General features: G+C 38.4%; 1 protein-coding gene across 4 annotated transcripts in view; it reads right to left on the bottom strand.

Moving 5' to 3' along the window:
- CFAP210 (cilia and flagella associated protein 210) overlaps window positions 1-24,877 on the bottom strand; it is a 48,981-nt gene that overhangs the window by 23,440 nt on the left and 664 nt on the right. Inside the window, exons 2-5 of one of the 4 annotated variants that reach the window (XM_047443326.1) lie at window positions 12,406-12,506; window positions 12,143-12,317; window positions 6,003-6,176; window positions 5,712-5,905 (exon numbers count right to left, since the gene is read on the bottom strand). In XM_047443326.1, the coding sequence (XP_047299282.1) occupies window positions 5,712-5,905; window positions 6,003-6,176; window positions 12,143-12,317; window positions 12,406-12,452 (590 nt within the window). In that variant the 5' untranslated portion in view covers window positions 12,453-12,506. Of the gene's footprint in view, window positions 1-5,711; window positions 5,906-6,002; window positions 6,177-12,142; window positions 12,370-12,405; window positions 12,507-24,877 lie in introns of all 4 variants that reach the window. The other 3 variants (XM_011510590.2, NM_001085447.2, XM_047443327.1) reach the window with 3 other exon arrangements.

Consider the following 24,877-nt stretch of genomic DNA (forward strand, 5'->3'; position numbering starts at 1 on the left):
TTACCAAAATGTGACACAGAGACATAAAGTGACATGCTGTTGAACAAATGGTGCTGATAAATTCGCTCAATGCAGGGTTGCCACAAATCTTCGATTTGTAAAAAACACAATATCTGCAAAGTACAATAAAGCAAAGCACAATCAAACAAGGTATGTCTATAAATAGACAATGTAATTACAAATCGTAGTGTTTTTTAAAAAATAAGAGACTAAGTAAAAGAGTAATAATTGAGGTACTTAGATAACTTTGACCAAAGTTGAACTCTAAGACAGGAAGGCCTCTCTGAGCTGGTAAGAGGTCCACAGATGAAGAATGGAAGGGTAAAATTCCAGACCATAGAGAAAACATGAGGCAAGCAAGAGCTTGGTAGATGTTCGAGGCCCTGGAAGATCAGTATAATGGAGGCATCATAACTAAGAGGAAGGACTGGTAAGAGAGGAGGTTGCGAAGTAGGCAGGCCAGATCATACAGAGCCTTGGAGGGGATGTCAAATTTCCATTTTATTTTAAGTTGAATGGAAAGCCATTGAAGTGCTTAAGGTAGAATAATAATATGATCAATTTTCATCTTGATAAAATATCTCTGGATGATAAGTAAAGAAGAATTTGGCAAATAAATAATGTGAGGCCAATTAAGAGACTGATACAACAACCCATGTGAATACATGAGAGTGGCCTGGACTAGATGATGGCAGTAAATTCATGATTTGTTTTGGAGAAAAAAATCAACATGAATTGCTGAGAGATCTGATGTGGAAGATAAAGGAAAATGAGGAATCAAGGTGAATTATTAGGTTTCTGGTTTGAAAAACTGGTTGGATAAAGATGCCGCTGGAGGAGGCGGAGCTTGCAGTGAGACAAGATCGCACCACTGCACTCCAGTCTGGGCGACACAGCGAGACTCCGTCTTAAAAAAAAAAAAAAAAAAATGCCGCTGGAAACGCTGGAAATCAATAATTCTGTGTAGACATTTTAAGTTTGAGATACTATGAGACATTGAAATGGAGATACCATGGAAGCAGCTGGATATGTGAAGCTGGGGTTCAAAGGGATGGTCTAGACTAGAGTTATCAGATTTAGGATGGCACTTACATCTGTAAAATGGATGAGATCACTTAAGCCCTCTTCTCTCTTTCTACTCTTTCCCTAAATAATCTTTATCTAGGAAAAAGTGATGCAAACTATCCTATGACCATTTTTTCTTTTTTTGTGTGTGAAGCTGATGGGATTAACAGACAGTAATTAGTGAGTTTTTTCTTAAGCAAAGTCTATGTGTCTGTTCCTAGAGGAAGCCTTACCTATATATAGAAGAAAGAAGACCTATACAGTGTCTATAGCTACGGTGTTAAGTTTCTTTTTAATAATTATGTGTAAGATTCCTGGTCAAAATCCCTCTATTTTGGGATTTTGGTGTCACTGTGGTATCTTATTTGTCTTATCGCCGTCACACCCACTGGGCTATGAGTCACACAAAGACTCTTATACTAGTCAAAGCCCCACAGTAGCATAGGATAGATTGTTTAGAAAGCATGTGAAAATTTTCACTTTCAGGCACAGGGCCAGCAGCTGTGCAATATGTTTCAGTTTTATATTGCTGAATAACTAATTACTCTAAAACTTAATAGCTTAAAACAATGAACACTTATTATCTCATACCATTCCTGAGAGTCAGAAACCTGGGAGTGACTTAGTTGGATGGTTCTCAACTAATGTTGTAGTCAAGATGTCAGTTGAAGCAGTAGTCATCCAAGGGCTTAAATGAGCCTGGAGAATCCACTGTCACATATTTGGTGTCAGGATACCTCAGGTCCTTGCCACATGGACCTCTCCATTGATCTGCTTGAGTATCCTTACACCACAGCAGTTAGGTTCCCCAATGAGCAATCCATGGGAGACAGCAAGGAGGAAGCCACATTGCCTTTAGTATCCTAAGCTTAGATGTCACACACCATTATTTCTGACACATTCTATTTCTTGGAAATGAGTTACTATGTATAGCCACACTTAAGAGGGAGATAAATTGGGCTCCATCCTCTGAAGGAAGGAGTATCAAAGAACGTATGGAAATATTTTAAATCACCGCAAGGTAGCACTTGGTAATACAATTAATAGGGCATGCAAAAAGAGACTTGCCCCTTGGTAATCTGCAATTTCCATTTCTTTGTGATTAAAATAATTAAAATACGGTCTCTGCCCAAAGAAGACAGTCATTCCAAATTTTGGCAGGCCTTAAGGCACATGACCTACAAAAGACACCATGAGCCGATCCTAGCCTATCTCTCCAACCTTATCTTTCACAATGCCCCCTTTGTCTTTTATACTACAGCCATCTTGACTACTTGGAGTTCTCCAAATCCACCATATTCTATCCCACTCTGGGCCTTCACTTGTGCTTAAAATACCTCTACAGCCCACTTTTAGCATGGCTTATTACTATTCATTCTTTGAAATTAGGCGCAGGAACCAGTTTCTTCTGCAAAGCCTTCTCTAGACTGGGTCAGATACTCATTTTACATGCTTCCACACACCCTCTACACATATTTGCCAAAATATTTATCATTACATTCTAATTATTTGTTCCATTTCTGTACTCTCCACTCCCAGATTCTGAACTTCTTTTTGAGATGGAGTGTCGCTCTTGTTGCCCAGGCTGGAGTACAATGGCACGATCTTGGCTCACTTCAACCTTCGCCTCCCAGGTTCAAGCAATTCTCTTGCCTCAGCCTCCTGAGTAGCTAAGATTACAGGCATGTGCCACCATGCTTGGCTAATTTTGTATTTTTTTAGTAGAGACAGGGTTTCACCATGTTGGTCAAGCTGGTCTCAAACTCCTGACCTCAAGTGATCCACCCACCTCGGCCTACCAAAATGCTGGGATTGGGAGGCGTGAGCCACCGCGCCCAGCCGTGAACTTCTTAAGAAGACTACATCATATTCATCTTTGTATTCTCAATGACTAGAATAGTGCCTGGCAAAAGGAGGTTGTTCAATAAATGTTTGTATGAATGAATGAAGGAATATCCTAATGAATGAATAAATAGCCTATTTTGAAATTTTGCTCCTGAATAAACTCTTATTCAAGAAAAGGGAAAGTAACTCTCCTTTGCATCTCTTTTTTGCTACATGCTCCTCTTCCCAACTCAGGTTAATACCAGTGCTACTATTCCATTTCTATTGGTTTAAAGAGGTTTTTTATAGGTTCATCCCTATTCGTAACAGTATTTTAAAGTAACATGCATTCTGAATTCTATAAAACCCATACATGAATAAACATTAAACAGAATATAGCTTGGCGATAAGTTTGTAAACTCATACACTTAAACAAATATATAATAATAGATTTATAATTTCCTATGTTGTTTCCAACTACAGATTTGAATGTTTCTTATTAAATTTAAGCTGTAGGACTTTGGAAACAAATTGGCAACCCAGGTTCACATGTTGAACATCTCTATTAGTCAGGGGTTTTCCAGAGAAACAGAACCAAGAGGGTGTGTGTGTATGTGTGAGTTTATTTGGGAGAATTAGCTCACACTATTACAAGGCGAAGTCCCACAATAGTCTGTCTGCAAACTGAGGAAGACAGAAACCCGTAGTGTTCAGTCGGAGTCCAAAAGCCTCAAAACCAGGGAAGCTCACAGTGCAGCCTTCAGTCTGTGGCCAAAGGCCCAAGAGCCCCCAGCAAGCTGCTGGTGCAAGTCCCAGAGTCTAATGACGGAAGAACCTGGAATCTGATGTCCAAGGGCAGGAAAAGCAGAAGGAAGCATCTGGCACCAATAGATAAGGAAGCCAGAAGGCTCAGCAAGCAAGAGTAGCCTACCTTCTTCTACCTGCTTTGTTCTAGCTGTGCCGGCAGCCGACTGGATGGTGCCCACCCACCTTGAGGGTGGGTCTTCTTCTCCCAGACCACTGACTCAAATGTCTGTCTCCTCTGGTGACACCCTCACAGACACACCCAGAAACGACACTTTACCAGCCATCTAGGCATCCTTCAATCCCATCAAGTTGACATCTAATATTAACCATCACAACATCCTCCCTCTCCTAATTCCCCAAAATGCAACCAATATAAAGGAGAAATTCTATACCACTGGTCTTACCCACATAACTGAATTTTCAAGAGATTTCAAAAGAAAATAGAACAGTTGAGAGTACAGTGAGGATAGGTAACACTTGGTCACCATGCACAAGGACAAAGCCCACCATGAGAAGTAAGTAAAGGAATTTATGCTGACGTCAGAGCTTGATGAACATTTCCGAGACTGCACTGAAGATATGCCAAAGAAACAACGAAAATAAATCCTACACCAGCTTGAACCTCTAACCTACTGACACATACTACAAGGAAAAAACACGATGTGGCCCAAACACAGCCCAGATACAAAGGCTATAGGAGGATAGACAGCCTGTGAAGGTGTTAGCACTTGCCAGGTAGCTTGCTGGAAATCTGACTGCCACCTCTGAGCTGCAATATAACAAAAGAGATTTCTCAAACACAAGTGATTCACTGGTCAAAGACTTGCCTTCCTCTGCCAATGGCTTTGTCCCTAACTTGCACAAACCTTTAGATCTCTACACTGCCAAAGAAAAACATTACAATAAATCCAAAGGTTTTTCTTCCCTTGTTACTAAGGACTGAATTGAAAAATACACAATTTGGTAATATATATATATTCTGAGAACTGATGTCTGTGTCATTTAGACATAATGTGATTTTGATAAATTATATATGTGACATACAGGTATGTGAAAAAAGCATGTAATAAGACAATGCTGCTAATTCAAATTTCATTTTATAAAATGTGAGTATATATGTTCAGGAAAAAAGTCTGTGTCGCCAGATCAATGACTGCCAGAGGCTGGGAACAGGAGATAGAACTTAGAGCAAAGGGGCATGAGGGAAATTTTGGGAGTGATGGAAATGTTCCATATCTTGATTTGAGTGGTAGTTATGCAGCTATACTTTTTAAAAGGTGAATTTTACTGAATGCAAATTTTATTTCAATAAGGCTGATGCCTCCTTCATTAAAAAAAAACTCTGCATGGCTATATACCAAAACAGTAATAGTAACTTCCTTTGGTAGTTTAGATTTATTATTCAAAAAAGATTCACTCCCTTCCCCTTCCTGTCTCAATTTAATGGAAGTCTACTTCTCTGTTCCATTATTGTTGTTGGGGTTGGCCATGTGGTTGCTTTAGACTGATGGAAGGCCAAGTATACTTCCTTCTCCATTGACTTTGGGTTACGCTGTGTTTTTGCATGCTCAGGCTTGCTCTCTTGCATCTCTATCAATACCATGTGAAAAGTTTCCCCATGTGGCTGCTTCATCCTGAACCTCAGAATGTATACACATGGAGCGGATCAGAATACTCTCCACAACAATAAGCAAACCCAGCCAGTCCTACAGCTTGAAGAAAAGCTGCCCAGCTGATTCCAGCCTAGATCAGCCAACCCCCAGATGCATGAGAAGTAAACATGTTTTTTTTGCATGCCACTAGATTGTGTGGTTGTGTATTATGTTGCATTATTATGACAATAATAACCAATATACAATCTCTGGGTAAGAAAGTGATAGCGATTTTTAACCTCCTTTTTGTACTTTTTCTACTGACTAATTATTTTAGCATGTATTACTTTTATAATTAGAAAAAAGCTACATCCATTATGAGAAAACGAGAAAGGTACAAAAAGGTATTTTATGTATACATACTGTTTTAGATGATCTTTGGCAAGAGCCACCCTTTCTCTGTGTCGTTTTTCTGCTTTTTCTTGTTCTTCTTTAAAAGCTTTTTCAATGTTGAGTTTCAACTGTTCCTCCCATTTTTTATCTGATTTTATCTTACTCTTTCGGAATTCAATCTGGGCATCACGTTCTTTCATAACTCTACTAAGAAGAAGTCCCGACTACAAAAGAAAAATTATAGTACTTTAAGGAAATGATGCCTAATTATGTACAGATATGTTAAAGATATATAAAAATACAAGAAAACTCAAGTAGTACATGAAAGTTTTTCACTCTTTCTGTCTGGTAAAATTGATATTGCTTTGCATTTTCAATGGCCTTTTTTCTTTTTCCTTGTTTGTATATTTCTTCTTCCAGATCAAGAATTTGTCTTTCTGCCTCTATTTCTTCATCACGCTTCTTTTTGGCTTCAAGTTTCTGTTCTTTCATCCCCTGTAAAAAGACAAACACAATTTTTTGTTTTCATTTTTCAATTTAATTTTACTACAGTTTAACATAATAATATGATAATTTGAGCTTTTATGTTTTTATTGTATTTGTAATATTTTATTAATAAATAAAATGAGGCTACACTTATGAGCTTATTTTTTAGACCGACCTTTTTAGGTAGATAACACATTTACATGGTTCAAAATCCCAAAATATTATAGAGGTATATGAACTTCTCCTTTTGTATTAATCTGTTCTCACATTTCTATAAAGAAATACCAGAGACTGGGTAATTTATAAAGAAAAAAGATTTAATTAGCTCACAGTTCTGTAGGCTGTACAGGAAGGATGATGCTGGCATCTGCTCAGCTTCTGGAGAGGCCTTAGGAAACTTACAATTGTGGCGGAAGGCAAAGGGGGAGCAGGCATGTCATGGCCAGAGCAGAAACAAGAAAGTGAAGGCAGGAGGTGGTACACACTTTTAAATGACCACATCTCACGAGAACACAGTCACTATTTCGAGGACAGTACCAATGGGGATGGTGCTAAACCATTCATGAGAAATCTGCCCCCATGATCCACTCACCTCCCAGCAGGCCCCACCTCCAACACTGGGAATTACATTTCAATATGATATCTGAATGGAGACACACATCCAAACTATATCACCTTCCAACCCATCTGCAATCTCCTCTCATTCTAAGATAACCACTATTAGTTTCTTTTGTCTACTTCCAAAGTTCCTCTCCACAGTTACACAATAAATATATATCTCACTCCTTTTGCTCCTTTAAAAAACCAACAGTTGTATATTTTATATGCTCTTCTATAACTCTGAGGCCTTCACTCCTCATGTCATATGAGGTCTTCCTTTTCCTTATTGGTCCTATTTCCTATGTCCTAAGAAAACCTTGTTTACTCTGATATCCTGAAGATATTCTATTATTTATGTTAAAAGTTTTAGTGTTTTGCCATTTAAATTTAGGTGTTTCGTCTGGCTGAAATCCATTTTTCTGCATTCTGTACTATTGAGATGTAATTTAATCTCTTTCATATGCCAATTATCCCAGTATCAGTTGTTGAATTCCCACCCTTTCCTTTCCTATTTGCAATGAAATTTTTGTTATATGTCAAGTTCCTATATATAACATGGGTTTGTTTCTAGGTTCTCTCTTCTGACCTATTATTTTGTCATTCTCCGTGTCTATATCATAGTTTTTACTACTATGGGTTTATAGACAGTCTTGCTGGTAAGATGAATCATCATTTATTATTCATCTTTAATACCAATGGAGAGTTAAAGCGTTACATGTGCTACTTCTGTGTTACAAAAAAAAAAAAAGGATATATCCCCATCCCCTATCCCTTTATGTACCAGGGACGTTTTTAAAATCAAGTTTTCTATATTATAATTTACATGTGCCCTTATAGTGTAGAGTTTACAAATGCATACAGTCACTTACAAAATAGTTCCATCCTCCCAAAAAATCCCATCATGTCTTATAGTCAACCACTCCCCCTACCTGTAGGCCCTGGCAACCACTGATCTGTTTTCTCTCCCTATAGTTTTGCTTTTTTCAGAATGTCGTATGTTACATATATTAGTCCATCATATAATTCTTCCCTCTTTGAGAAAAGAAAGAATTAATAAATTATGACCATTGTTCCTAAAGCGAGGTACTATAAGTTTTCTATGTCCTTTCCCAAAGATAAATAATGTATACTGCAACAAAGTAAGGAAACAGGCAATGTTAAAAAGAAAAAAAAACAAGTGAGAACTCTCCAGACTGAGTTTATGCCTATCTGTAGTTTTAATAATTCTACCATAAAACAAAAATAACCCTGCCTCTCAGTGCCTCAAACAATGGAGGAAAGTAGGGTGGAGGGAGGGATTACCTTTTCCCAGCATTTCTCCCCAGGCGAGATAATAAAAGGAGTCAGGGGACACCTCCCCATTTCAAAGAAGTTTCCCATTCATGCATAAGGAGCTAAACTGGGCTACTATAACCTTCAGGCAGAGGGAGGCCAGCAGATGCACAGAGAGGAGCACAGCAAAAGCACTATGCAGTTCCAGAGAGAGGAAGAGGCAGGCAAGACAGACAAATCAGAGGCAAATGACGAGAAGCTGCCTTGGTTCTTCACAGTTTCGAGTACTCTGGCTTTCTGCGCAACCCTGCGTCATAACAATAAACAGCACGACTCTGATACTCAAACTAGATAAAGATATTTCAAGAAAACTATGGACCAATATCCCTCATGAACACAGATACAAAAATTAATAACATTTTAGCAAATTCAATCCATCAAAAGGATAATACATTAAGACCAATGGGGTTTTATCTTAGGAATGCAAGCTTGGTTGAATATTTAAAAATCAATCAGTGTAATTCACAATTTTAACAAACTAGAAAATAAGAACCTCGTGATAATCTCAATAGACATCAAAAAAAGTACTTTAAAAAATCTAACATCCATTTCTGATTTTAAAAGAACCAAAACACTCAACAATTTCGATATAGAAGGCAACTTCAACTTGATTAGGGACATCTACAAAAACCATACACTTAGCATCATACTTAAAGGTGAAAGAATGAGTACTTTTTCCCCAAAGTCAGGAATAAGGCAAGAATATCTACCTTCACTACATTTATTCAATATCATATTGGAGCTTCTAGCAAGTGCAGTAAGTCAAGAAAAAGAAACAGGCATCCAGATTGGAAAAAAAAGAATTAAAACTGTCTTTATTCTCTGATGCCATGATTGTCTATGTAGGAAATCTGATGGAATCTATCAAGAAGGGACTAGAACTAATAAGTGAGATTAGCCATGTTGCAGGATACCAGATCAATACAGGAAAAATTTACTGTATTTCTAAAGCTAACAATAGCAGATTGAAACTTTTAAAAATACCATTTACCATAATATTAAAAATATGAAATATTTAGGGATAAATCCAACGAAAGATGTATAAAACCTATATACTGAAAACTATAAAACACTGCTGACAGAAATTAAGACTTAGGCTGGGCGCGGTGGCTCACGCCTGTAATCCCAGCACTTTGGGAGGCCGAGGTGGGCGGATCATCTGAGGTCGGGAGTTCGAGACCAGCCTGACCAACATAAAGAAACCCCGTCTCTACTAAAAATACAAAATTAGCCAGGCATGGTGGCGCATGCCTGTAATCTCAGCTACTCCAGGAGACAGAGGCAGGAGAATTGCTTGAACCCGGGAGGCGGAGGTTGCAGTGAGCCGAGACCTTACCATTATACTCCAGCCTGGGCAACAAGAGCGAAACTCTGTTGCAAAAAAAAAAAAAAAAAAAAAAGAAAGAAAGAAAGAAATTAAGCCTTAAACAAATAGAGAGAATATGTTCATGGTTCAGAAGATTCAATATTGTCATAATGTAACTATCTCCAAATTGATCTAGAGATTCAACACAATCCCAATAAAAATTCCAGCTGGCTTTTTCGCATGAATTGACAAGCAGATTCTAAATTTCATAATGGCCAGGTACAGTGTCTCACGCCTGTAATCCCGGCACTTTGGGAGGCCAAGGCTGGCAGATCACTTGAAGTCAGGAGTTAGAGACCAGCCTGGCCAACATGATGAAACCCAGTCTCTACTAAAAATACAAAAATTAGCCGGGCATGATGGTGCGGGCCTGTATTCCCAGCTACTCAGGAGACTGAGGCAGGAGAATTGCTTGAACCCGGGAGGTGGAGGTTGCAGTGAGCCGAGATCACACCACTGCACTCCAGACTAGGCGACAGAGTGAGACTCCATTTCAAAAAAAATAAAAATAAAATAAAAAATTAAAATTAAAAGAATCATAAGGATGTGCAAAGGACCTAGAATAGTGAAAACAACTTTGAAAAAGAAATGATTTCAAGACCTATTATTAAATCTACAGTCATCAAGACAGTGTATTATTGGAGTAAAGACAGATAAATAGAGCAATAAAACAGAATAGATAGTGCAGAAATGTCGCCTGAATATATATACGCAAGTGGATTTTCAAGAAAAGTTCAAAGGCAATGTAGTGGATAAAGAATGGTATTTTCAATAAATTATGCAAGAACAATTGATCTTCATACACAAAAACAAAAAAAATCAATACCTCATTGCATATAAGCACATATTTAAAATGGTTCATAGACCTATACAGGAAACCAAAAAATATGTATTTCTTTCCAACTTTTATTTTAGGTTCAAAGGCTACATGCGCAGGTTTGTTACACAGGTAAATTGCAAGTCACAAGGATTTGGTGTGCAGATAATTTTGTCACCCAGGTAATCAGCATAATATCCAGTCGACATCTTCCTCCCACCCTCCTCCATCCTTAAGCAGGTGCCAGTGTCGGCTGGGCGCAGTGGCTCAGGCCTGTAATCCCAGCACTTTGGAAGCCGAGGCAGGTGGATCACGAGGTCAGGATATCAAGACCATCCTGGCTAACATGGTGAAAACCCATCTCTACAAAATAAAATACAAAAAATTAGCCAGGCATGGTTGCAGATGCCTGTAGTCCCAGCTGCTCAGGAGGCTGAGGCAGGAGAATGGCGTGAACCCTGGAGGTGGAGCTTGCAGTCAGCCGAGATTGCCCCACTGCACTCTAGCCTGGGTGACAGAACGAGACTCCATCTCAAAAAAAAAAAAAAAAAAAAAAAGGTGCCAGTGTCTACTGTTACCTTCTTTGTGTCCATGTGTACTCAGCATTTACCTCCCACCTATAAGTGAGAACATGCAGTATTTGGTGAAATCTAAAATTTTAAAACTTCTAAAAGAAAACATAGGAGAAAATCTTTGTGACATTAGATTAGGTAAAGATTTCTTGGATAAGCCACTAAAAGAATGATATATACAAGAAAAATTGATAAACCATACTTCACTAAAAGTAAAAACTTTTGCTTTTCAAAAGACACAGTAAGGAAATGAAAAGTCAAGATATAGAGTGGGAGAAAATATTTTCAAGTCAAATACCTAATAATGAATTTGTATTTGGAATATAGTTTAAAAATTATCTAAGCTCAATGACAAAACTAATTTTAAAATGGGAAAAATATTTGAATGGATACATCAACAAAGAAGATATACTGATAGAAAATAAGTTCAGGAAGAGATATTCAACATCATTTTTACTTAGAGAAATTCAAATTAAAACTATAATGAGATATTGCACACCTATTAGAATGTTTATAATTAAAAAGACCAACTATACCAAGTGTTGTTGAGGATGGAGAGGAAATAGAACTCTCAAAGATTATTATTGGGAATGCAAAATTACAACTACTTTGGATAACAGTTTGGAAGTTTCTTACAAAGTTAAATATACACCTATCATAAAAGACAGCTATTCTACACGAAGATATTTACTAAGAGAAATGGAAGCATATGTCCATACATAGACTTATAAGTGAATGTTCATAGCAGCTTTGTTTGTAATAGCCAAAAAGGGAAACAGCTCAAATGTCAACGTTTCATTGATGTCAACCATCAAAAAGTGACCAAATAAACAAACTGTGGTATATCCATACAATGGAATACGATTCAGCAATAAAAATTAACAATTGATACCCACAACATGAATGAATCTCAAAGTAATTGTGTTGAATGAAATCTGTAATAGGAAGCAGATCGGTGGTTACCTAAGGATCCAGAAGAGGAGCAGGGAGAAATAAGAGGGAACAAAACAGGTCATGAGGAAATTTTGGGGTGAAGAACATGTTCATTATCCTAATAGTAATGATGGTTTTGGGGTTTATACATATGTCAAAATTATAGGATTGTACATTTCAAATATGTCCAATTCATTGTATATCACTTATACCTAAATAACACTGTTGAAAATATGTTTCGATGCATTTTTATGAAATTTTACATGTAAAAAAATTTATAAAAAGAAGCATAAGAGTACTAAGAAACAAGAGTAAGTCTTCAGTGCATGTGTACTCCTGGATGGTTAATACTTACTGCATATGTATTAGTCCAGTGTTTTACCACTTCTTGAGATCGCAAATGCATTTCTTTCTTTGCCTTTCTTTCTGCACGGAGGCATGCTGCTTCTCTTGTCAACCTGTCAAGGCTATCTTGAATCCTTTTCCACTCATCGTGTGGAATTATGGTGACCTGCTGGAGATCTACTTTGCTAGGTAGAAGAGGCAGATAGAGAACTTGATCTTCTTCAGAGTTTCTTATTTCTAATAAATTGTAAAAAATGATTATTAAAGACTTACGGGAACAGTTTAAGTGATATTCGTCTGAGAAGTTCCGATATTGGCATGATAACTGGAAATTATTTCAAATACTTAATTTACTCTTGTTATCCTAAGAACAGCTATGATTAAGTGAAAAAAAAAATACAAAGCCTTGAAATCAGAAGGCATATATTTGAGTCCTTGCTTAATCACTTCCTTACTGTGTAAACTTGGGCAAGTCATTTAACTTTTTGGAATCTCAGTATCCTCATCTTTAAAATAGAGATCTCCTAGTAATACCCATCCCAACAGCTTGTTATAAAAGTATTTTTCAAAGTTAACAAAGTGGCAGTTTATAAATGGATAACTTTGTGGGTGGGTGTTCATCTTTTGGGGCTGTAGGCACTATGACTGACTCTACTCAACCTCTTCCCACTGAGCAGCAGCAACATAATTTGGAGAACTCACTATAGTCCCAGGGTGGGCCTAATTGGTTTAAGAACACTTGTATCTCCATTGTCAATCATTATTTCTTTAAAAAGCAAAGAAACAGGACAAAAGGTTTACTTGCAACTTTTAGAAAAGTTCTTCCTTGTTCTTCTGGGAGAGACATCCAAAAGACTCTCAAGCTAAGTTTGAACAAGGAAGAAAGACAGACAAACAGCTATGACCACAAGATAAACCAGCCTTGAATGAAGTTATTATTGCAAAGAAGCTGTTACTGCAAAGAAGAAACAATGGGAGAATCTGAGGCAATGATGATCTCTTTATTCTGCTAATCAACTCAACCTGAAGCCTGGAGTTCCTGTTATAAAGTTAAAAAATGTCCTTATTTTTGAAGATGATTGAGTTGGGTGTTCCGTTATATGAATTTAAAGCATCCTAAATGAAACAGTGGAACTCATAACAGATCTCCTTGGAAAAACGGTCCTACCCTTTTAATCGATCAAGGTTCTTAATTACTAACAGCCAAACTTACTCTAACTAATTTAGGCAGAAAAGGAATTAATTAAGGGGCATTAAGTAATGGACTCAATCTCCTAGAGAGCCATAGTCATCCTTATAAGCTATATATGCAAGACATCATACAAACCACATCATGAGGTTCCAGTGAGGGCCCATGGCAACCGGCTTTGTGTAGGCATCTCAACTTGCCCCATTTACAACTTGCCCCACTGGATACCATTTACTTGAATACTTGAATCTTCGCCACTGTTGCCTCTGAAATTGGTACTCTGTTGTTGCCATTTTCTATACACACACACACACACACAAACTGATTCAACATGCTGTTTGTTTCCTTATATTGCTCTCTTCAGAATATAAATCTGGCATATGTAAAATTGATTGGCTGAGTCTTTGTCCCATGCTTGCACTCTAACTGTAAGGGTGGCTGAAAAAGTGAATTCTGCCTTCTGTCTTAAGGAGGTAAGACATCAAAGGAAGGAAATTCACCAAAATAGGAAAGGCATTTGAACAACGATGGGTGGCCACAGGCATAACAAAGGTAGGACAGCAGAGTGGGTAAGAGTGTGGATTCTGGAGTCAGACTACCTGAACTTTTTCTGAACATACCATATATTAACTATATGAATCTAGATAAAATTATTTTACCCTTCTGAATCTGTTTCCTTAATTGCAAAATGGGGTCATTAACAGTATCTACTGTACGTAAAGAATTTAAGACTAGCGCCTGGTACATAATATGTTCTCAACAAATATTAGCTATTATTATTTTTACTATTAGTATGAGGAGAAGAATGAAACAAGTAGAGAGAAAGGCAGAAGCAAGAAAATCACGTGGTTCCAGAAAGAGAAAGATACTGAAAGAAAAGCCTTTAGGACCAAATAAAGTCTTCTTGGGGTTTAAATTAAGGCAGGTAGAGGTGAGAACTTGGTGACTAAACTAAAGTGTGAGTTTACAACCACAGGCACTATCTTGCCTACCACATACCAAACCTCTGCACGCAAAATAAAGCCAAACAAAGCTGATTTTATCATGAATCTTTAGTTGCAAAGAGTATCATCATGACTCTTTAGTTGCAAATGACTAATCTAACTCACAGCAGTTACGATAAAAAGAAGAATACTGTGTCTCCCGTATCTGGGGATTGTGGTGTAACTTGATTCAGAACACTGTTCTACTTAAGAGTCATGACCAATACATCCTTACAGCCTTGTAACAAATTTCCTTTATTTTGCCTAAACCAGCTCAGCTTGGCTTTTGTTACCTGCAATCAGAAGCTAACCAAACAACGGTCTCTAAGTTAAACCATCTGCCTTTTGATTAACAAATTGCTAGGCATGTTAATATCTTTGTCTGACCCAAGAGTCATTCTAAACTTAATTCGCTAAAATTCTAAAGAGGGTCAGTATAGCACATGGCCTATTCTGGCAGGAGCTGCTCTCCACAAAGTATACAGTGGTAAGTGGGCCTTGGCAGCGGTGGCAGGAGAGCAGGATGTTAGAAAGCTATGCAGTGCAAAGTGTGATCCCTCCTGTTTGACATCTCAAATCTTTAGTAGAGTTAACTGTTCACAGGATGTTTTATTCAAATAGATCTTTTCATGGACTCTGACACAGGAACAAACAAAGAGAACAGCCACAAATGTGGGAATAGAGTTGGGTAACCACAAAGAAAAAAAAAGCCCACAGAAAGCTTGGGAAAGGCTTTTTACTATCTCAGGCCACTGAAGTTGGGGCAAGTTCCCCATATCTTTGGAGATCAGGAGAGCCCTGGTTGAGAACAGAGCTATAGATGATTTCATATATCCCCACTTTAATCCACTGGTTGATGTAAAATTTAGCTCTTAGAGGGCAATCTTACTTCCAAGATTCCTACCCCACAGTAGCTCTCATACAATGTCAGTAGAGGCTGTTAGAGAAGTTGAAGAAGGGCAGGCCACAGTTGAATGAAGGGACATGAAAGACAGAGACAGATGGACAGAGAGAGAATATAAATAGGCAGACTCGCAAGCAGGAGAGAGGGGACAAAAGCAGTGGCAAGTTACCTAAAAGTGTCTAAAATCAGTCCATGTACCTGCCATATTGACACATTTTCCATGGATTAGATCATCTTTTTATTGAGTTATAATACACATAAAAATCCGCCACTGTAAACAGTAGCATTCAATGGTTTTTACTCTACTGTCAAAGCTGGGCAACTATCACTACTATCTAATTCAGAACACTTTCATCATTCCAGAAGGAAACTCTGTATGCATTAGCAGTCCTCTCCTCCTCATAGCTCCTGGCAACCACTAATCTACTTTCTGGCTCTACGGATTTGCCCATTGGAGACATTTCATGTGCATGGAATCATACAATATGTGGCATTTTATATCTGGCTTCTTTCACTCAAATAATGTTTTCAAGGTTCATTCACATTGTAGAATGTATCAATACTTGATTCCTTTTCGTTGTTGTTGTTGTTGTTGTTGTTGAGATGAGTCTGTCTCCATCGCCCAGGGTGGAAAGCTGTGGCACAATCTCGGTTCACTGCAACCTCCATCTCCCGGGTTCAAGCAATTCTCCTGCCTAGCCTCCCAAGTAGCTGGGACTACAGTCATGCACCACCATGCCCAGCTAATTTTTTTTGTATTTTTAGTAGACATGGAGTTTCACTGTGTTGGCCAGGCTGGTCTCAAACTCCTGGCCTCAAGTGATCCACCTGCCTTGGCCTCCCAAAGTGCTGAGATTACAGGTGTGAGCAACCATGCCTGGCCCTAATTCCTTTTTATGGCTGAGTAATATTCCATTCTATAGAAGTAGCACATTTTGTTTATCCATTCATCAGTTGATGGATATTAGGGGTGTTTCCACCATTTGACTATTATGAATAATTCTGTTATGAACATTCACAGGTTTCTGTGTGGACACATATTTTTCATTATCTTTGGTATATGCTTAGGAACAGAATTATAACTCCATATTTAACATTTTGAGAAAGTACCAAATTGTTTTTCAAAGTAGCTGTACTATTTTACATTTCCACTAACAACATACGAAGGTTTCAATTTCTCCACATCCTTCCCAACAGTTATTACTGTCCCTTTATTTTTTCACTCATCCTAGTGGGTGGGAAGTAGTATCTCACTGTAGTGTTGATTTGTATTTCTATAATAGCTAATGAAGTTGAGCATCATTTCATGTGCTTATTGGCTATTTATACATCTTGTTTGGAGAAATATCAGTTCAAATCATTTGTCCCTTTTTAAAAATGGGCTGTCTTTTTATTGTTGAGTTGTAAGAATTCTTTATAATCTGGATTATAGATCCTTAGCATATATATAATTTACAAATATCTTCTCCCATTCGGTGGATGTATTTGCACTTTTTGATAGTGTTCTTTGATGTATTAATACTAAAGTTTTTAATTTTGAGGAAGGCCAAATCTGTTTTTCTTGGGTTGATTGTGCTTTTGGTGTCATATCTAAGAAATTGTTGCCTAATCCAAGATAATAAAGATGTATGTATAAGTTTTCTTCTAATAGTTTTATAGTTCTAGCTTTTATATTTAGTTATATGATTCATTTCAAACTAATATTTGTATGTGGTGTGAGGTGTCTATAAATTTGGGAGTCAAAATTCATTATTTTGCATATGGATATCCACTTATCCCAGCACCATTTGTTAAAAATTCTACTCTTTCCCCATTGCATTAACATTCTTGTCAAAACCCACTTAGTATAGATGTATGGGTTTATTTCATTATTTCTATTACACTCATCTATATGTCTTTCCTTAAGCCAACACCACAATCTCTTGGTGACTGTAGTTTTTTTTATTGTTTTTAGAAACAGGGTCTCTCTATGTAGCCCTGGCTGGAGTGCAGTGGCTATTCATAAGCACAACCATTGTGCACTACACCCTCGAACTCCCGGTCTCAAGTGATCCTTCTGGCCACAACCACCTGAGTAGCTGGGACTATAGGTGCACATTCCCATGTCCAGCCAATGAGTGTAGCTTTGTAGTAAGTCTTAATATCATGAAGCGTGAGTCCTCCTACTTATTAATATTTCTTCAGATTCAAAATTGTTTTAGCTATTCTATTGTCCTTTTCATTTCCATATGAATTCTAAGATCAGCTTGTCAATATCAACAAAAAAGCCAAGTAGAATTTTGATAGGAATTGTGTTGAATGTGTAGATCAATTTGGGAAGTATTGCCATCTGTCTTAGTCCATTTTCTGTTGCTATAACAGAATACCTGAAACTAGATAATTTATAAAGAACAGGATTTTATTTCTTAGAATTATAGAGGCTCAGAAGTGCAAGGTTGAGGGGCTGCATTTGGTGAGGGCTTTCTTGCTGGTAAGGTCTCTCTGCAGAGTCTGGAAGTAATGCAGGGCATCATATGGCAAGGGGGCTGAGGATGCTAGCTCAGATCTCTCTTCCTCTTCTTATGAAGCCAACAGTCTCAATTCCAGCATAAGCCATTAATCCATTCACAGCAAGACCCCATTTCTAATCCATTCATGAAAGCAGATCCCTCATGACCCAATCACTTCTTAAAGGCCCCACCTCTCAATACTGTCATTTTGGGAATTAATTTTCAACATGAGTTTTGAAGGGGACAAATATTCAAACCATCTTAACAATACTAAATCTCCCAGCCCATTAACATGAAATATGTATTAGTATATTTTCATGCTGCTGATAAAGACATACCTGAGACTGGAGAGAAAAAAAGGTTTAGTTGGACTTACAGTTCCACATGGCTGGGGAGGCCTCAGAATCATGGTGAGAGGCAAAAGGCACTTCTTACATGGTGGCAGCAACAGAAAACGAGGAAGAAGCAAAAGCGGAAGTCCCTGATAATCCCATCAGATCTCATGAGACGTATTCACTATTATAAGAATGGCATGGTAAAGACCAGCCCCCATGATTCAATTACCTCTCCCTGGGTCCCTCCCACAACGTGTAGGAATTCTGGGAGATACAATTCAAGTTGAGATTTGGGTGGGGACACAGCCAAACCATATCATTCTGCCCCTGGCCCCCTCTAAATCTCATGTCCTCACATTTCAAAACCAATCATGCCTTCACAACAGTCCCCCAAAGTCTTAACTCATTTCAGCATTAACCCAAAAGTCCATAGTCCAAAGTCTCATTTGAGACAAGGCAAGTCCCTTCTGCCTATGAGCCTGTAAAATGAAAAGCAAGCTAGTTACTTCCTAGATACGATAGGGGTACAGGTATTGGGTAAATACAGCCATTCCAAATGGGAGACATTGGCCAAAACAAAGGGGCTGCAGGACCCATGCAAGTCCAAAATCCAGCAGGAATCAAATTTTAAAGCTCCAAAATGATCTCCTTTGACTCTAGGTCTCACATTCAGGTCATGCTGATGCAAAAGGTGGGGACCCATGGTCTTTGGCAGTTCTGCCCCTGTGGCCTTGCAGGGTACAGCCTCCCTCCTGGCTGCTTTCACGGACTGGCATTGAGTGTCTGCGGCTTTTCCAGGCGCATGGTGCAAGCTGTCAGTGGATCCACCATGCTGGGGTCTGAAGGACGGTGGCCCTCTTCTCACAGCTCCACTAGATAATGCCCCATTAGGGACTCTACGTGGGAGCTCCGGCCCCACAATTCCCTTCTGCATTGCCCTAGCAGAGGTTCTCCATGAGGGCCCTGCCTCTGCAGCAAACTTTTGCCTGGACATCCAGGCATTTCCATACATCTTCTGAAATCTAGGTGGAGGTTCCCAAACCTCAATTCTTGACTTCTGTGCACCTACAGGCTCAACACCATGTGGAAGCTGCCAAGGCTTGGGGCTTCCACCCTCTGAAGCCACAGCATGAGCTCTACATTGGCCCCTTTCAGCCATGGCTGGAGCAGCTGGGACACAGGGCACCAAGTCTATAGGCTGCACACAGCACAGGGACCCTGGTCCTGGCCCATAAAACCATTTTTTCCTCCTGGATCTCTGGGCCTGTGACAGGAGGGGCTGCTGTGAAGGTCTCTGACATGGCCTGGAGACATTTTCCCCATGGTCCTGGGGATTAACATTAGGCTTCTTGATGCTTATGCAGATTTCTGCAGCTGGCTTGAATTTCTCCCCAGAAAACTGGTTTTTCTTTTCTATTGCATAGTCAGGCTACAAATTTTCTGAATTTTTATGCTCTGTTTCCCTTTTGAAACTGAATGCTCTTAACAGTACCCAACTCACCTCTTGAATGCTTTGCTGCTTAGAAATTTCTTCTGCCAGATCAGGCTACAAATTTTCTGAATTTTTATGCTCTGTTTCCCTTTTAAAACTGAATGCCCTTAACAGTATCCAACTCACCTCTTGAATGCTTTGCTGCTTAGAAATTTCTTCTGCGAGGTACCCTAAATCATCTTTCTCAAAGTTCCACAAATCTCTAGGGCAGAGGTAAAATGACGCTAGTCTTTTTGCTAAAACATAGCAAGAATCACCTTTACTCCAGTTTCCAGAAAGTTCCTCATCTCCATCTGAGACCATCTCAGCCTGCATTTTATTGTCCATGTCGCTATCAGCATTTTGGTCAAAGGCATTCAACAAGTCTCTAGGAAGTTCCAAACTTTCCCACATTTTCCTGTCTTCTTCTGAGCTCTTCAAACTGTTCCAATCTCTGCCTGTTACCCAGTGCCAAAGTCACTTCCACATTTTCAGTTATCTTTTCAGCAATGCCCCACTCTGCTGGTACCAATTTACTGTATTAGTCCGTTTTCACACTGCTGATAAAGACATACCTAAGACTGGGAAAAAGAGGTTTAGTTAGACCTACAGTTCCACATGGCTGGGGAGGCCTCAGAATCATGGCAGGAGTTGAAAGACACTTCTTACATGGTGGTGGCAAGAGAAAATGAGGAAGAAGCAAAAGTGGAAATCCCTGATAAACCCATTGATCTCATAAGACTGAATTACTATCACAAGAATAGCACGGGAAAGACTGGCCCCCATGATTCAATTATCTCCCCCTGGGTCCCTCCCACAACTCATGGGAATTTTGGGAGATACAATTCAAGTTGAGATTTGGGTCAGGACACATCCAAACTATATCAAGATGTCTTTCCATTTATTTATATCTTTAATTTTTTCAATAATGTTTTGTAGTTTTTTAAAGGGTAAATTTTTGCTTATTCCTAAGTATTTTTCTTTAGAAATAAAAACTTTTCCTAAGTATTTTGGTGCTATTGTAAATGGAATTGTTTTCTTAAGTTCATCATCAGATTCTTCATTGCAAGTGTACAGAAATACCATTTTGTAAACTGATCATCTTTCAATGCCACTAAACTTTATTAGATCTTATAAATGTTTAGTACATTCTTTAGGATTTTTAATATAGAATATCATGTCATCTGTGAATATAGAAAGTTTTATTTCTTCCTTTCCAATCTGGATGGCCTTTTGTTTTGCTTGCCTAAATGCCATGGCTAGAATTTCCAGTATGATGTTAAACAGAAGTGACGAAAGCAGGCATACTTTTCTTTTCCTGATCAGGGTTTCAGTCTATCACCATTAACTATGATGTTAGCTATGGGCTTTTCATAGGTCTCCTTCATCAGGTTAAGAAAATTCCCTTCTATTCCCAGTTTGTTGTTTTTATCATAAATGGATGTTAGATTTGTCAAATGTTTTTTCTATTAGGATAATCATGTAGTTTTGTTCCTTATTCTATTTACACAGTGTACTACATTAATTGTTTTTAAACCAACCTTGCATTCTTGGGATAAATACCACTTGGTCATGGTATATAATAATTTTTTATATGTTGTTGGATTTGGTTTGCTAGTATTTTATTTAATTAATTAACTTATTTTTTGAGATGGGGTCTTACTATGTTGCCCAGGCTGGAGCGCAGTGGCTATTTACAAGTGTGACCATAGCACATTACAGCCTCAAATTCCTGGCCTCAAGTGGTCCTCCCACTTCAGCCTCCCAAGTAGCTGGGAGGTGTGTGCCACATCTAGCTCATGTGCTAAAACTATGTTGAAGATTTTTGCATCTCTATTCATAAAGGATAATGATCTATAGTTTTCTTGTGATATCTTTGTCTGATGTTGGTATCAGGGTAATACTGCCCTTATAGAATGAGCTGGAAAGTGCTCCTTCCTCTTATTTTTTAAAAAGTTTTTGAAGGATTTATGTTAATATTTCATTAAAAATTTAGTAGAATTAGCCAATGAAGCCATCTGGTACCCAGTTTTTCTTTGTGAGAATTTTTTCAATTAATAATTGAAGGTGGGATCACCTGAGGTCAGGAGTTTGAGACACGCCTGGCCAACATGGCGAAACCCCATCTCTACTAAAAGTACAAAAATTAACCAGGTGTGGTGGCGGGTGCCTGTAATCCCAGCTACTCAGGAGGCTGAGGCAGGAGAATCACTTGAACCTGGGAGGCAGAGGTTGCAGTGAGCCGAGATCATGCCACTGCACTCCAGCCTGGGTGACAAGAGCAAGACTCTGTCTCAAAAAAAAAAAAAAAAGAATTCTTGAAGACTTTTTCTTTCAGTAATTTGAATATATTAGCCTGCTGCCCCTGGACTCCATAATTTCTTATAAGAAATTTGTTGTTAATCTTATTGAGGATTACTTTTATGTAATGTCATTTCTCTTTTGTGCTTTCAAGATTTTCTCTGTCTTTAGCTTTCAACAGTTTGATCATGATGTGTACAGCTGTTGATCTCTTTGAGTTGAGTTTACCATACTTAGAGGATCACTGAGCCTTTTGATTGTGTGATGTTTTTCATCAAATTTGGAAAGCTTTTGGCCATTAATTCTTCAAATTTTTCTACCCCTTTCTCTGCTCTTTTTCTTCCAGAACTCGAGTTACATTTATGTTGGCATATTTGCTGGTGCCCTACATTTCTCTGAAGATCTGCTCATTTTTCTTCATTCTTTTATCTTTTTTTCTTTCTCATTATTCTGAGACTGAATAATCTCAATTGACTTATCTTCAAGTTCACTGATTATGTCTTCTGCAAGTTCAAATCAGCTATTGATCCCTCTAGTTAATTTTTTAATTCAGTTATTGTGCTTTTCAACTCCAACATTTCTGTTCAGTTCCTTTTTATAATTTTTTTAAATATTCATTGATATCCTCTATTTGGTAAGACAACATTCTTAATACTTTTCTATAGTTCTTTAGACTTTTGTTTTAGTTCTTTAAATATATTTACAATAGCTATAAATTTACAAAAGTTTGTATCTAGTAAATCCAACATCTGGGCTTACAACAACTGCAACTGCACAGTTTTAGGTCAGTTGGGGGGGCAGTCTCTGATTTCCTATCTTTTGTCCACCCCTACTTCTGTAGACATCCTCCCCGCCACTTCCACTCCCCCTTTCCCTCTTCCACCCATTCAACTGAGCACAAAATGGCCAGACTTCCACAGAGCCAAAAGATGATTATTGAGGATGCTTTCAACTTGGTGGAGTCCATTTCAAAGACACTTTCTATTGAAACCTTTTTCTTGTGTTTGGGTCATACTTTATTTCTTTTCATCTTTCATAATTTTTATTAAAAACTGTACATATATGTGTCAACTCTGGAAATCAGATTTCTACATACACCCAAAGTTTCTCATTCCTGCTGTTGTTGTTTGTTTCAGGACTTCTCTGAACCAATTCTGTAGTCTGTATTCTTTGTCACATGTGGCCACTGGAGTCACTGCAGTCTCTGGTTTGCTTAGTGGTCAGCTAATAACTAGACAGACATATCTTTGGATGACTGGAACTAACAAGTCTCCCAGTCTTTGCCAAAGGACTGTCTATGAGTATTAAGGCATGCCTTCAATGCTCGGGCAGGCAATTTACAACTCCATCTTAGCCTCTACTTCTTTCTTAAACAGAGTCTCAAGGTAAGTCATAGGTGAGAGGCATTTGCAGGTCTTTCCTGGGCATATACATAGCTCTATGCATGCACTTGGCCTTCTAGATTCCCAGGAATATGTCAGGAGCTTTCCAAAGCCCCCTATGGACATATCACTTCCCAACTGATCCTTTTAAGATTTTCGGTCAGCTTGTTGTTTGCCTCCCAACTGTATCACTGCCTGCCTGTTTCATGCTGTTATAACAGAATACCTGAGACTCGGTAATTCATAAGGAATAGAAATTTATTGGCTTATGGTTCTGGAGGCTGAGAAAGCTAGTATCGAGGTGCCAGCATCTGGCAGGGGCCTTCTTGCCGCATCATAACATGATGGAAGGCATTACATGGCAAAAGGGCAAAGAGAGGGCAACAGGCGCACGCACACACACACACACACACACACACACACACACACACCACACAGAGACAGAGAGAGAGAGAGAGAAAGAAGAGGGCCAACTTTCCCACTTTTATAATGAACCCATTCCCCAGATAATGGCATTAATCCCTTTACTCTGCCCTCATGGCCTATCACCTCTCATTAGTCCCTACCTTCCAACATTTTTACATTGGGGATTAAGTTCCCACACATGCCTCTGATAGCTGTGATATTTAAAATTGCCACTGAACATTTGACAAACATACTTGGTGAGTTTGAAGTCAGACTAAATAACAATAAGCCTCATGAGTGAGATTTTCCAAGGAACTATCAAACATGTCGAATAATAACAGTTGTCTGGCTTTGGAGTGGGTCAAATTCTGTTTTGTCCCCTCTACCAGTTGCTAAGTCACTATTTTTCACTGTGATTACTGTGGTTATCTAGGCTGACACGGGGCTGGGAGAAAAGTATAGGACTATGGCAAGTTAAAATGCCAAAAACCTTGCTGTTGTTACAAAAATCCAGCTGTTTTTCTTTAGTAAACACTCTACAAATTGTTGCAAGCCTTTGGTTAATTTCCAGAGTTCTGAAAAAGTCGATATTGATGATTTTTGCCACTGTTCTTGTTGATTTTATGGAGGAGAGGATTTCAGGCATAGATCCTATTTCACCATTCTGGCTGATGTCATCCCACTAAATCTTTATAAATTATTTATTTTACTAATAGCTGCACACATCTCTGAACCTCTCTCCAACTTAGCCTTCCCCTAAAAATGGAGATTAAAATTTAGCAGTGAGGCTCAGGTGGAAGCTTTTGAGCTAGTTGCCACAAAACATTATTTAACAACTATTAGGTAAATCTAAACCAGGTAGTGCAGAAATGCATATGCAGGAAAGTGAATGTGTGGGACTAATTGTGCTTTTCCAAAACTGGCCATGTTGGTACTGTTTCTTTCCTTTTACATGGCAAAAGTCCGCTGCTAACCTCATAAAACCTCCACTGCATAAATATCCACTAGTGAAGAATGACTGGCTGTCACTCTGCATCTGGTGCAGGGGGCACTATTGCTACAGAAGCTCGGGCAATGACATGAAGATACTTCAAATTGCCAAAGTTCTAGTTGTCACCATGACAACATTAATTGCTAATTTACAGACGTAAGAAACTGTTGTAGCTAGAATTGATAGAGTTCTTTAGAAGTCTATTTCTATTCCAAAATCAAATTGTTATAACAGGTCACCTGAATTACAGTACTTTATGTCACACGATTTTTTTTTAACTCTCTAAAAGCATTTG

This window comes from Homo sapiens, chromosome 2 (assembly GCF_000001405.40).
Source record: "Homo sapiens chromosome 2, GRCh38.p14 Primary Assembly".
Taxonomy (NCBI): Eukaryota; Metazoa; Chordata; class Mammalia; order Primates; family Hominidae; genus Homo; species Homo sapiens.